Source organism: Homo sapiens, chromosome 3 (assembly GCF_000001405.40).
Source record: "Homo sapiens chromosome 3, GRCh38.p14 Primary Assembly".
Taxonomy (NCBI): Eukaryota; Metazoa; Chordata; class Mammalia; order Primates; family Hominidae; genus Homo; species Homo sapiens.
Genome location: NC_000003.12, coordinates 188,523,720 through 188,538,114, shown reverse-complemented (window position 1 = coordinate 188,538,114; position 14,395 = coordinate 188,523,720). Strand labels below are relative to the sequence as shown.

General features: G+C 38.6%; 1 protein-coding gene across 57 annotated transcripts in view; it reads right to left on the bottom strand.

The window, feature by feature from the left end:
• Positions 1-14,395, bottom strand: part of LPP (LIM domain containing preferred translocation partner in lipoma) — a 737,651-nt gene that overhangs the window by 352,557 nt on the left and 370,699 nt on the right. For all 57 annotated transcript variants that reach the window (NR_164692.1, XM_047448103.1, NM_001375457.1 and 54 more), the window contains one exon: positions 13,328-13,450. Coding sequence is in view for 56 of the 57 variants with exons in the window: in XM_047448103.1 (XP_047304059.1) it covers positions 13,328-13,450 (123 nt within the window). In the remaining variant the exon portion in view is untranslated. The remainder of the gene's footprint in view (positions 1-13,327; positions 13,451-14,395) is intronic.

Below are 14,395 nucleotides of genomic sequence, written 5' to 3'. Positions count from 1 at the left end.
TTCTACAAGTTGTATAGTTTTATCCTTTACATTTGTGTCTTACACTATGAGGTAGGGAGTCCAGCTTTACTCTTTGTAGATATCTGGTGGTTCCAGCATCATTTGTTGAGAAAACTATTTTTTCCCTGTTTGAACGTCACAACACCCTGTTGAAAATCAATTGTCCATAAACATAATGGTTTATTTCTGGACTCTCAATTCTACTCCATTGATCTTTATGTATATCTTAGGCCAATATCACACTGCTTGATTGCTGTCATTTGAAAGAAAGTTTTGAAACTAGGAAGTGTGTGTCGGAAACTTCCTCATCTTTTTCAAGATGATTTTGGCAATTCTGGGTCTCTTGAACATCCGTGAATTTAAGGATGTTTGTCAATTCTTACAAAGAAGCCAGCTTAGATTCTGATAGGGATTGCTTTGCATCTATATATCAAATTGGGGAGTATCCCACTTAACAATATTACATCTTGCAACTAATCAACAGAAGATGTCTTTCCATAGATTTAGGGCTTCTTTAATATCTTTGAACAAATCGACAGAGACTTTGTATTCAATTAGTAATCAGTGAATAAAGGAATAAATGAGTGAATAAGCCAAAAACACAAATAAAAAGGAGCATCCAGATGGCTCTTAGAAATACATACACAATGGCCACTGTCTTGAATCCCATCTCACTTCTCAGAAAGCCACTGTTAATTAGTCACAACTTTCAAAATACTGATTTCAGCCCCTTTTTACATAACTTTTGTCATAAAATCTATTGTTTCTTTTTCTTTTGCCCATGTGATACGATCAATAATGCTAGAAAGGCAATGGCCCTGAAAGATACATCTCTATCCACTCTTCCTTCAGAAGGCACTCAAGGAAACATGTGCTAGCACAGCTGCAAACAGACCACTCTGATTTTCCTATCTTTCCTTCCTTCCTGGTTGGGAGATCTCATTCACAAGTGACTGTAGATCAACAAAGTTAAACATCATAATTTTAGCTATGCTAGACTAGATGATGGGAGAAAAAGCTCTAAAATTAATATTACATAGAATATTAAGTCATCCAGGATGCTGTTTATAAAAATTGTTTCCTGGCTTGGACTGCCTTGGTAAGCATCAAGTTAACATAAGTTGGCCATTTGGGAAATAAAACATAACTCTGTGTTGGCTGGGTGACGGAGAGAGCCAAGAAGAAGATTCCTGAATGGTAAGAAGCTTAGCACCTCTAGCAGTATCTAAGAAGTAACATTTTTCAGCATTTTCATATAAGCAGTACAACATCAAGATGAAATTAGAAAGAGTTCAAGACACTTCACAAATGATTTACTTTATGGGTTCATATATCTGACTATACAGGCTTCAAGCTTTATTGTTTCTTCAACTTGTTTCTTAAAAGGAACAAGTAAATATTATATCTTTTTAACCCACTTAAATCTTATATTTTATTTACACCAGCAGAATATGCTACTTTAATGGATCCACTGTTTACCATCAATATAAGCAAAGAATCCATTTAAAATTCAATACTCTCTTTTTAAAATTGTCCGAAGTTTAGATATATTTTTAAGATGTTTATAGGCAAATATATGTGTATGGACACAAAGTTTATTTCCACTTAAAAAGCATGACTTAGATTTAGACAATTAATTGGTTTTGACATGCTTTATAATTGGCATATATTTATCACATTTGAAATACTGGGTCAAGAAGTATCAGAAATAAATTGGTAAAGGAAGGAAGAGGTGAATCTTAGAGGCTTCTTTTAATGAAGCAGAGCTTCCTGGCAGTAAACGCAAAAAAAAAAATCTTGTAATATGGCCGGGTGCAGTGGCTCACGCCTGTAATCCCAGCACTTTGGGAGGCCGAGGCGGGCAGATCACCTGAGGTCGGGAGTTCGAGGCCACCCTGACCAACATGGAGAAAACCTGTCTCTACTAAAAACACAAAAATTAGCCAGGCGTGGTGGCACATCCCTGTAATCCCAGTTACTCAGGAGGCTGAGGTGGGAGAATTGCTTGAACCCGGGAGGCAGTGGTTGCGGTGAGATGAGATCATGCCATTGCACTCCAGCCTGGGCAACAAGACTGAAACTCCATATCAAAAAAAAAAAAAAAAAAAAAAATTCATGTAATAATTATACAGGTGTTTTGGTTGATGTTGTTGTTTTCTGAAAAAAGGAAGCATATATCAGTACATTCGGTAAGCAACTTCTTTCCTCTCACTGAATATAAGGAATTTATCATATTGGTCTTTATTTAGGAAATAGTAACATAATAGTCCTCTGTTTTCTTCAGTTCTGTGGAGAATATAGAAAAAGAGTTGATATTTCTTTCTTATGTTATCTCAACAGTAACAGAATTGATATAATATTGAATTATACCTCATGATAACATCATCTTCTTAACAAAATACATTGTCATCAAGTGATATAAGGCAATATAAGAGTATAGCTGAAAATTTTGGATGAAACATTGGTTACCATTAGGTTGCTCTTATAAAAAAATATTCACTTCGGCCACACTTATTTTTCTTAATGCAAATACATGTTCTTTATTTTAAAAAAATCACAAAGCAGCTATAACTTTGTCATGTGCTAACTCTATATCTATTACAGATTAGCTTTTTTAGCATATTTCTAGAATGGAAATGTAAAGATTTGAAGACAATATTTATTTATTCAGCAAAAATAAATTTGTATGCCTCTCATGTGCCAGAAAACAAATGATAACCTTGCCTCAGGGACTTCACAGTCTGGTACTCATCACAATTATTTCTTTGTTATGCAAACCGAAGTCATTTTATACCTATCTACTGTTCCTGTAAGGTATATTCTGTTACGTAAAACTTCCAAAATTTTTACTTTACATTGAAATATTTGTGACTCAATACAATGAAACATAATTCGATCCCCTTCTGCAGTCTGGAACCTCAACATGACCCCATAACTTAGGTGCATATTGGAGTGTGAGTGCAGGACCCAAAGCAGAGAGACCAAAATGCGCAAATGGTTCTGTCCGCATTTGTAAATGAAAACTGTAACTGCTGGCTCAACAGCAACACGTGCTCACTTTGTATATTTCATTTCAATAGTTCCAGCTTACAGATTCATAAGGAAATATGTATGTTCAAATTATGCAACATAAACTATAGTTTTGTCTTTATAATTAATATACCCACTGAAAGGCAGTGTTTAACTTTACTGGTAATTTTTCCATAGTGTGAAGAACCTTAGCAGTTACATTCCAATGTGATATTTTGTGTGGAGGGCAAACCAGTTACTCACCATGAAAAATTGTGATATGTAGGATGAGTTATTAACCACCTCCAACCTTCTGTCTAGAGATCATCCTTATTATCACTATACTCTAGTTTGGCTATAAAGTATATAAAGAAGTAGATGTCAAAATGGACAAAACAATGACTACAAATTATCTGAGACACGGCTTTTTCTCTTAAAACACAACAATCCTACATATTTGCTGTGGTTATATCTAGTCATCTTGAGTTAAAAAACATAGCTAGACTTGTGTTTTCTTGTTTATTTGCTTTTTAAATCAGAAAAGAAAAGAAAGGAACTATGGGGTTTCATACTAACACTACCACCAAAATAGATATTTAAACAGTGGGAGAGGAAGAAAGAAACAGAGAAACCAGTCCTAACAAGAACACTCTTTAATTTTGCAAATGTGATGTGTGCTTCTGCATAGACATAGGACTAATTATTTCCACTGAGATACTGTTGTAAAATAGAGAAACTCAACAGGCAGCTTTGTTCGTTTCTTTTCAAACCAATGTTGGATTGAGTGATTCAGTGTAATGTAACATAATCATCTTGGAGCCAAGGACTCATCAAGGTCAAACAAACAAATCACAGTTAAAGGCTACCACAAGGACCATGGCTAGAGAACCACAGAAGACAACCCCCTCCCATGCTTTAGCTGAATGAACACCCCATGGCACTCAGCAGCTATCTGCTCAGCTGCCCTCCCCTATCCCCACTAGGAGCTAAGATACATTCAGAGCCAGCTCTTACACTGGGACAAATGAAATGAATATTTTTGGGCAAAAGCTTTGTAGAGGTGCAATGCAAGGTAGATTTTTAGGCTAAATTTCCACTCTGAAAATGTTACATTTTCATGGCACTCAAAACAAAATTTATTTAAAGCTAACGTTGATTATGCTTATTACGCATGACACAAACACATCATCTTCTAAAAAAATGATGAGGTATAAATGTTATTGAAATGCAATTATATACCATCTAAAAATTAATTGCCTGTCATAAAAGTCATGGCATGCAACTCTGAGTCAGCTAACCACTCCTCCACCCCCAAATCATTGTTATTTAACTGTTGAAGTTTTCTGGCGGGTACAGGCTAATTCAAAACAACACAGATCCTCTAAGTAAAACATGGGCATTGTGAAGAATAAGATCCCTTTCTCTTTTAAAATGGTGTTTTGCAAATTTTATTTTACTGTATTCCACTTAACATCACATACCAGAGGTTTCTACAAGGTTTCAACTTTTACCATAGCTCTCAAAGAAAGTTATTATTAAGCAGACAATGCCAATACATAGACAAATCTATTTCTCAGCAAATCATGAAAAGCTCCTAAATTTTTCCTAAGAGAATATAGGAGGAGGAAGATGCCACTATCCACACCTATTTTCTTTTTCAACAGAGTATTTATTACCCAGTTCCTATCTCAAGTCCCAAGCAGCCTTGCCAGAAACAGCAAAGTTTCTAGTCTGTAGGGACAGTCTATGTCTCATCACACAGTATCAGCATGTTGTAGTTTTCATCTCCCAGTAGCCTACATGTTTGACTTGCATTGAATAATATGAAGCATTAAACATTTTAATTACTAATTAATCTCCCCTGCAGCTCCTCATGGCGTTTGCAAGCTAGAACACAGAACACATGAGAAGGGAAGATCCAGGGCACCACAAGACTCCACCCTGATTACACTGCACCCAAGCCCTCAGACCACATGAATTCTTATAAAAAGCTCTAAATACAACACACATATACCTGAAATAATTTCTCAGGTTGCCTCATACATTATTGCTCTATGAAAGGAACCCAGTGTGGGAGTGCTGGGACTGCAGCTAACGATGTGTCCATATGACCACACAGCATTTCAGTACTCAGTTTCCAAATAGACTAAGAAGTTAGAATAGTTTTTAAAGTGAGGAATTAAATATATCGTTTATAGGATGAACAGCATTCAGAAAGGACCAGCCCCCAACCTTCAAAGGCCTGAAGTTTTAAAACAAACTCCAGACACAAGCTAACAATCCCAAAATGAAATGGGAATGACTGTGTGAGCTGTTGCTTTGAGCCATCATCTTATTTCTTGTAGCTTGAGAATACTATTCTATCTTTTGAAAAGGGGGAATGGAGTGTAGTTACCCTGCCCATTTTTGAAATAACCAAAAGGAAGCACAAACTGGTAACATGGACAGGTTCACACAAATGGAGCTCCTTTCAGAGAGGGGACCTCAGGGAATCAAGAAGCCAATGCTCTTCCCGTTGGCAAACTTGGAGACGAGGCTATCAAACTATGCCCCACCCTATTCTTATTTTCAAAATATCTCCAAATTTTTCATATTAGTTGAAGAAGAAAAACTCACCTCTTTCCTCTATGCTACTCACAGAACACTTCACTTCTATTGATTGATTGATTGATTGATTGATTGAGACAGAGTTTTGCTCTGTTGCCCAGGCTGGAGTGCAGTGGCACAATCTCGGCTCACTGCAACCTCTGTCTCCTAGGTTCAAGCAATTCTCCTGCCTCAGCCTCTCGAGTTGCTGGGACTACAGGTGCATGCCACCACCCCCAGCTAAGTTTTGTTTGTTTGTTTGTTTGTTTGTTTTTAGTAGAGCTGGGGTTTCGCCATGTTTACCAGGCTGGTCTCAAACTCCTGACCTCAAGCAATCAACCTGCCTCAGCCTCCCAAAGTGCTGGGATTCCAGGTGTGAGATACCATGCCTGGACAGAACACTTTACTTCTGGCACTAAATGTGAGGGTTTTTTTCATACATCAACTGATTCTATGGTATCAGATGGGTGTTTTATGACTCAATTCAGTTCTGACACAATCTACCTGGAGTTACTATTACAGATCCCACAGGTTAAGGGTTCAAGTCCCACAAGACTGTTTCCACTTCATATGTCAATCACAAGCTGCGGTGGTGGGGCAGAGTAGGGGTGGTCACCAGTTACCCAGACTTCTGTCTGATTTGACTACAAATTGGGGTTTGCCATTATCCCCTTCCCAAGTTTGATAATATGCTAGAATTACTCATGAAACTCAGGGAAATGCTTACTTACATTTACTAGTTTATTATAGAGGATACGATAAAGGATAAAGATGGACAGGCAGATGATGAAGTGCACAGGGCTAGATCCAAAAGGGTCCTGGGTATAGGAGCTTCTGTTACCATAGAGTTGGGGTATGCCACCCTCCTGGCATAAAGATGTGCTTAACAACCTGAAACCTCTCTGCACTTCAGGGATTTTTATACAGACTTCAAAACATTCAAAACATAGGCATGATTTGTTATTCATTCAATCTCTAGCCCCTTTCTCATCCCCAGAGGATGAGAGGTGAAGATTAAACTTCCAAGCTTCAAATCATTGCTTGGTCATTCTGGTAACCAGCCAAAATCCAGGAGCCCACCAAGAGTTGCCTCATCAAAACAATAGATATTTCCATCACTCAGGAAATTCCACAGAATTCAGTAGCTCTGAGTCAGGAACCAAGGTCAATAACAAAATAATGTTAGAACAAAAGATGCTACCAGCACCCCTATCACCTAGGAAATTATAAGGATTTACAAACACTGATTCAGAAACTGGAGTAGAAAAATATATTTATATATTATTTCTTATTATTTCACAGTATCACACTAGTCTAAATGAGGATAGTGAAAGCCCATTTAATCAATTCAAAAGCAACTTGATTCACAAATTACTAAATCTCCAGCTACCATGAAATATTAACGTAAGACAGTTTATTTGAAAAGTGTTCCAAGTCACTCAGTCATCAGCTCCAATCCTACCAAACTTACTTGGGGAAAAAAAGACAGCCCTGTACTAGAAACTAGAAGATGAATACTGTACCCTAACTCTGATAAAAGAAGGAACACAAAAGTCATTAGTTCATGATTGATCTCTTGTCTTCTAAGAAATAGACAGAATTTCGTTCCAACCCCTGCATAGCTTCTAGAGGCTAAGCTGTACTTATACTAACAAATCATGCCTACCTAATGGGTTGGGTTTAGATATATACTAGCTTAAAGATGTTACAACGTCATAAGTTTTCTGTTTACCATTGAAGTACGTCTTTGATATGCCTAATTCTTTGTTATGTGTTTGAGACTTATTTTAAAGAAGACGCCATAAAAGAAAGACTTTTTGGAATAAACCAATTGTGATACTAAAGGAAACCAAACTCTCCCCTGGTCGTGGTTATCATCAAGCTGGGCCTTTGTGTCATAGTTCGGGGAAAATACAAAGAATCACTGAAACTGTCTCTAAATGAGCCTCCTTGAGTGTGTTCTTTCCCTCTCTGGGCAAAAGCTTTCCATCTGTAGAATAAGAGTTTGGCTAAGTGAGCTGGAAGGCCCACTAAAGCTCTGATATTCTATGATCACATTTTGTCTGCAATTCACTCCAGGATCACCTCTGAACTTTTCACATCTGTTCTTCTAAAACTACTCCCTGACAAACACATTTAAAATGTTTAGAAATTTTGGTTTCAAACACTAATGTAATTTAATTGCATAAATCCATGCAGCGTCATGGAGGATTTTTTTATAAAGTAGCTGTAAGCTAAAGTCATTACTCCAAAATCACTGCAGCCAGTAACACTGTTGCTATCCCCCTGTAAATTTCTCTTTCTAACAATGAAAGCCCTTGGGCATCAAAAGGGCTACTTAGGTACTGCTAAGTAAGTTTGAGTTTTTCAGCAGTAATCCCATTTACACTTTACATACCCCATTAGACAAACTTATTCTTCAAATAATATTCACTTTCCACGTTCCTTGACTTTCTCACTCTTGTTATTCTTGCACCTTGAATCCCATGCCCTTCCCGTAACACTTTAAGCCAAGTTAGCTCAAATACTGCCTGCTCTACGCAGTCCTCTCTGACACTGAAAGGTATAAGGTACAATGTTGGTATTCCTGTATTTTATCTCCCAATAATTTTGACACGTGGTGATTTACGTGACAATTTAAGTAGCACATTGAAGCCCTTCTCCTGTGTCCCTTTGGGTTACTTACGGGCTTATCTCTTCTGTAAGATTAAATATCACTCTAAAGGAAAGACCTGTTGATACTAACCTTTAAATCTCCAATGACTGATCCAGAGGAGGATCTCATCAAATGTTAGGTGAATGAATCAATGAATCAATGAATATGTGGAATTAAGCCAAATTTCCAAAATCAATATAGGGATTAGTAAGTGAACATAACTAAAGTCAGAAAATTTGGGAGCGGAAAATACTCCCTAGAATAAAAGGAAGAAAATGCTTTAGCAAAACCTATTTTCAAGAGCTCACATTTTTCAGACTTGTTTTGAGAATGGAGCTCCTTGGAACCTCTTACCATATAAACATTCCACATATATATCATTTTTCCTAGACCATGAGTCAAAGCAGCCTTCCAAAGATGATAGAGACATGGATTCAAAAAAGCTTACAACACATGTTTGACTAATGAGAAATCACAGACCTACTAGCCTATTTTAAGTAGTCAGGTGATTCTATAGGTTTTGAAATTTGCTTTGAACAAAAATAGAAACATCAATGTTGGGCATTAACGGTCTACATTTCTAGGACTTTTCAAGTACCTTTCAATTATAACACAACACCGTCTACTATAGACATCATCTTCTCTTGGCACATACTTTTAATATTTTAAGTGTGTGATTATTGTTCTCACAGCCTATAATTATGTTAACCAATAAATATTAACACATCTAATTCAGTTCCACCAGAGGGAAGATAATTCAAAAGGATGAGATATATCTCCCAATTAACTCTTGCTTTGTTAAATCATAGTAATAGAAAAAAATTAGAATGGATCATCCTTTAATTTCTGAATGGAACAGGCACATCGAAAGTGTATTTTACCATAATTATGAACTTATTCTACTTAATGGCTATTACAATTAATTTTTTTTGACCTTCTGAATGTTTTTCTTTTTATGGGAAAGCAACATTCAAGGGACAGTGTCACTCAGATGACTGATGCCAGCTTTCATCGATGGTAAAATCATTACAAAAACAAAGACAAAACCTGACACCCTCAATCTGGTGTTTAGAACTTAAAATCAAGCACAAGCCAAAATTCAAAGTCCAGTTGTGCTCACGCAGTGCTCAAACATATGGCCAAGGAGAAACCATTAATCTTCTTGGTGAGTCTTAGTTTCATCATCCCTGAAAGGAGCACATCACGCACATCTCAGAACTGAGATATCTATATCTCACTCAAGTGAGAATATATGTGAAAGTGCTTCACAATCAGTACTGTCCAAATATCAGTGATGATGAATTTGTGTGCTCAGAAAGATTCCTCAAACAAAACGTAGCTGCAGAATAAACCTATTAAAATGCAATGGTTTATGAGAGGCATGTATAGACACAACCTTCAAGAATAAAGGTTGTATTAAACAATAGACCTCAAAGCATGATCTCCTCAGTGTCTATTAGGTTATAAGGATTTAGGGGAGGAAAAAAAAGATTTAAATGAAAGCTCCGTTTAAAAAAAAAGCTGGGGGGCGGGGAGGGGCAGGGCACGGTGGCTCATGCCTGTAACCCCAGCACTTTGGAAGGCCGAAGTGGGTCAGTCACGAGGTCAGGAGATTGAGACCATCCTTGCCAACATAGTGAAACCCCATCTCTACTAAAAATACAAAAAATTAGCTGGGCATGGTGGCACACACCTGTAAGTTTGGCTAAATGACCTGGAAGGCCCACTAAAGCTCTGATACTCTATGCTCACATTTTATCTGCAATTCACTACAGGAATATGTCTGAACTTTTCTCATCTGTTATTCTAAAACTACTCCCTGACAAACACTTTTAAAATGTTTAGAAATTTTAGTTTCAAATATTAAGGTAGTTCAATTGCATAAATCCATGCAGTGTCATGGAGGATTTTTTATAAAGTAGATGTAAGCTAAAGTCATTACCCCAAATTTACTGCAGCCAGAAACACTGTTGCTATCCTCCCTAAATTTGGGAGGCTGAGGCAGGAGAATGGCTTGAACCCAGGAGGCGGAGGTTGCAGTGAGCCGAGATCCCACCACTGCACTCCAGCCTGGGTGACAGAGTGAAAACCCATTACAAAAAAAAAAAAGGAAAGGGAGCACAAAAAAGCATTTGGGCATGATACTGCTGAGTCCAGTGGCAAAGTCAGTGGCCTTCCTGTCTTCAGATATGAGATGAGATTTGGGGCATTTGCTTGGGTGGAATCAAAAAAAATTGCTGAACATCAAGCAATGGTCAGAAAGTATGAAGAGTGGCTTGCTGGAGAACATTTTTCTGACCTGGGCTCATTTCCTGCATCATTCTAGAGTTGGTCTTATTTCCTATGTTCCTTTTTCAGAATGAATTTTAGATTTCCCTGATTGAGAACCTTCAAATAATCCCATTATCTACAAAAGACAGATTAAAATCATAATCTGGCATTTAAACGTGTCTACACGCTGTCTGTAGGAAACTACCAGACTTATATTCTCTCTTTTTTTTTTTTTTTTTTTTTTCAGATGGAGTCTCCCTCTGTCCCCAGGCTGGAGCGCAGTGGCGTGATCCTGGCTCACTGAAACCTCCGCCTCCCGGGTTCAAACGATTCTCCTGCCTCAGCCTCCCGAATAGCTGGGATTACAGGCGGGCGCCACCACGCACAGCTATTTTTTGTATTTTTAGTAGAGATGGGGTTTCACCATGTTGGCCAGGCTGGTCCCAGACCTATATTCTACTCCAAGCCTTCAAAGGCTTCATCTGCAGCCATCTGGTTGCTTACAGATCTCTAAATGCAGCCTTGGTGCTTGCTTGCAGCCCTGTGGCTCAGGCTACTCCCTGCTGCTGTCTCGAACGATACAATTCCACTCACCCCTCCAGATGAAAATGCAAGTCTTTTGATAAGAATTATCAGACTGTGTCACCTTCAGAAGAATATATCACTATCTTCTTTGTGCTCCTGCAGTATAGGCCATATCCTCACATATAACATTACAGGCTATTAGAAGATTACAACGGAGTCCTATTTCTCTTCCTCTCAACTATCCACCTTTTTTGCCTCATCGGTTCCCCCAAAAGACCACAGTGCCTTCTACAGATGAGTTCAGTACACATTTACAGGGACAAAGTATATTTTTACTGCTCACAGGATGGATAGAGCCAAGAGCAGGGTCAGTGAGGAAGAGCTAAGTGGTAGTATATTTTGCCATGAATCCCACATGGCTAACAATTCCATTATATGTTAAGAAAAGGTACAGGGAATGTATCTAAAGAAGACAGCAGCTACGCACAGTGGCTCACACCTGTAATCCCAGTACTTTGGGAGGCCAAGGCGGGCAGATCGCTTGAGGTCAGGAGTTCCAGAGAAGCCTGGCCAACATGGTGAAACTCCATCTCTACTAAAATACAAAAATTAGCTGGGCGTGGTGGCAGGCACCTGGAATCCCAGCTACTCGGGAGGCTGAGGCAGAATTGCTTGAACTCAGGAGGTGGAGGTTTCAGTGAGCTGAGATTGCGCCACTGCATTCCAGCCTTGGCAACAGAGAGAGACTCCATCTCATAAAAGAAAAAAAAAAGAAGAAGAAGAAAGTGCTGCCACCTTATGAGCAGTTAAGTATTGAAATAACTGACAGCAGAGAAACAAGACTGGTTCTTAATTTAAGAAAGGAACCACTGTAAATACAGAAGCTGCCACTCAAGAACTGGAGTGAGGCTCAGAGGCTCTATGCACTCTCACTTAGTCAAACAAATGTCACGCAAGAGTCAAACAGCACAGTGACAATACTGCTTCTCTAGCGTTTGCAACTACAATTCTGATGGCTGTCTTCTGAGGAATTGGAAGCCCTGAAACAGATTTGCCACAACCCTTTCAAGACTTTAGAGAGGCAGGGAATGATCACTAGCAGTGGAAGATCAGCTTCTGGAATGCAGATATTAAGTGAAGATGCTGAAAAATAGCCAAGCTCCAAAGTAGGCAAAAATAAAAAAATTAAAAAGCAAAGAAAAACTAACAAGGCACCATTTGCACTTACAAAACACAGATTAATTGCAACCATCACATTCTAGTGAACTTGAGGAGAAACTGATATATTCAAACTAACTGGTGGTACCAGTATCAACTATTCACAACCTTAGGAAAGAAAAGTAAATAAAGTGGTCTCATTCATCAATGTAGCAACCCCACTCCTAGAAATCTGAGGCCAGGAAATAACCCCAAAGAAAATATACACAAATATGTCCCCTGTAGCATTATTTAAAACCATGACAAAAATAATGAAAATCACCTTAATATCCAACAAAACTAATTTCCTTGCAAAAGACACAGCCCTTCACCTTAACCTTACATAGCCAAGCTAAGTCATATTTGTGAAAACTATAACAACATGTAACAAAATATCCATATAGACAAAGCTGTAAGAAGAGCAAGGCAATGGAATAAGAGATTTACTTTTTTATATAACATTTTTGTATGATGTTGTGTTATTTTTAAAGAAAGTACTCAAAGAGTCAATTTAAGAAATTTCTGCCAGTTGACTAATACATGTTGATATTAAATAAAAAGGCAACTTAAATCATTGACTCTAAGAAGATCAAGAAAGAATAAAAGGGCCGGGCATGGTGGCTCAGGCCTGTAATCCCAGCACTTTGGGAGGCTGAGGCAGGCAGATCATGAGGTCAGGAGTTCGAGACCAGCCTGACCAACATGGTGAAACCCGGTCTCTACTAAAAATACAAAAATTAGCCAGGTGTGGTGGCAGGCGCCTGTAATCCCAGCTACTCAGGAGGCTGATGCAGGAGAATTGCTTGAACCCGGGAGGCGGAGGTTGCAGTGAGACAAGATTGTGCCATTGCACTCCGGCCTGGGCAACAGAGCAAGACTCCATCAAAAAAAAAAAAAAAGAGAAAGAAAGAAGAGAGAGAGAGGAAGGAAGGAAGGAAGGAAGGAAGGAAGGAAGGAAGGAAGGAAGGAAGGACGGACGGAAGGAAGGAAGGGGAAATAAGCTCTCAGGTGCAGCATGTTCTTTCTGATAAGAGTAGAATATCTGGGAATGGCTGTGTGGAGATGATTGTGGGCTGCACTAACCTGTGGAGGCCGAGGCTTATAGGGGGAGCTGCACTCAAGGTCAGCCAAGATGCTGGTCAAGGAGTCAATCTCAGCGTCCAGGCTGGAGCGCCTCTCCTCAAGTGTCTTGCCTCCGGGATTCCCCTGTTGGAAGCAACACAGACATGTTAACAAAGGAAATTTCCCTTGATATCATTATAAGTTCAAATTTCTCAAGTTATAATGTGGCTTTGTCCAAGTTTTTCTGCACCTCTTTTTTTTTTAATTAAGCTTTCATAAAATCTCAGTGAGGTAGGCTGAGATAGAATTATCACTTTATGACAGATATGAAAACTGAAAAATAAAAGATGATTTTTCTCAGGTCACACACTTATTTAGCAGTTTTGTCGTTGTTGTTGTTTAAAATAAGTATACAAGTAAAGGAAAATAAATGTCTCCATTCCTGCACCTAAAGAACAGAACCAGCTGAAGAGAGCTCACAAGCACTTGGTGTTTAGACACCACTGCCTAGAATAATATTTATTGGAGTAGCAAGGAGCAGGGAAGGAACACGGACATTCCAGAAAGAGGAATCAGCACTTGAAGACATTGGAGCATGCCAGTGCTTGGAAGTCTCAGGTCCAGGGGGTATTAGGTATGCATGTGTGCGAGAGATGGCAAGACCCAAGAGATGCACCTAGAACATGAACTGGAAAGAGACCTCTTAGGGTTCTGCCAAGGGGCTGCAGGGGAAGCATGTGGCAGTGAGCATGGACAATGAAGTCAGGATCTCCGGATTTCCTATGTCAGAACCTCGTATTACCTGCAGTCAGAATCAACAGGAGAGTAGAGGACAACAACATCGACACAGGGTGTTTCCAGGAATTATGATCAGGTTTGGGAAAAAGAAGCAAAGAATCTGTCTGGATTATAAAGTGAGATGACCCTAGTATTTGGAGGCAGGGTGAAGTAAAAAAATAACCTTTTAAAGTGACAATTTAATAATGATCATATATGAATATGGAAGAAGCTCTTAAAACTTCATTAAGAGACCAAAGTGTATCTTCAGCAAGACTCAATGGCAATACAATAGTGGAAAGTTACAATAAT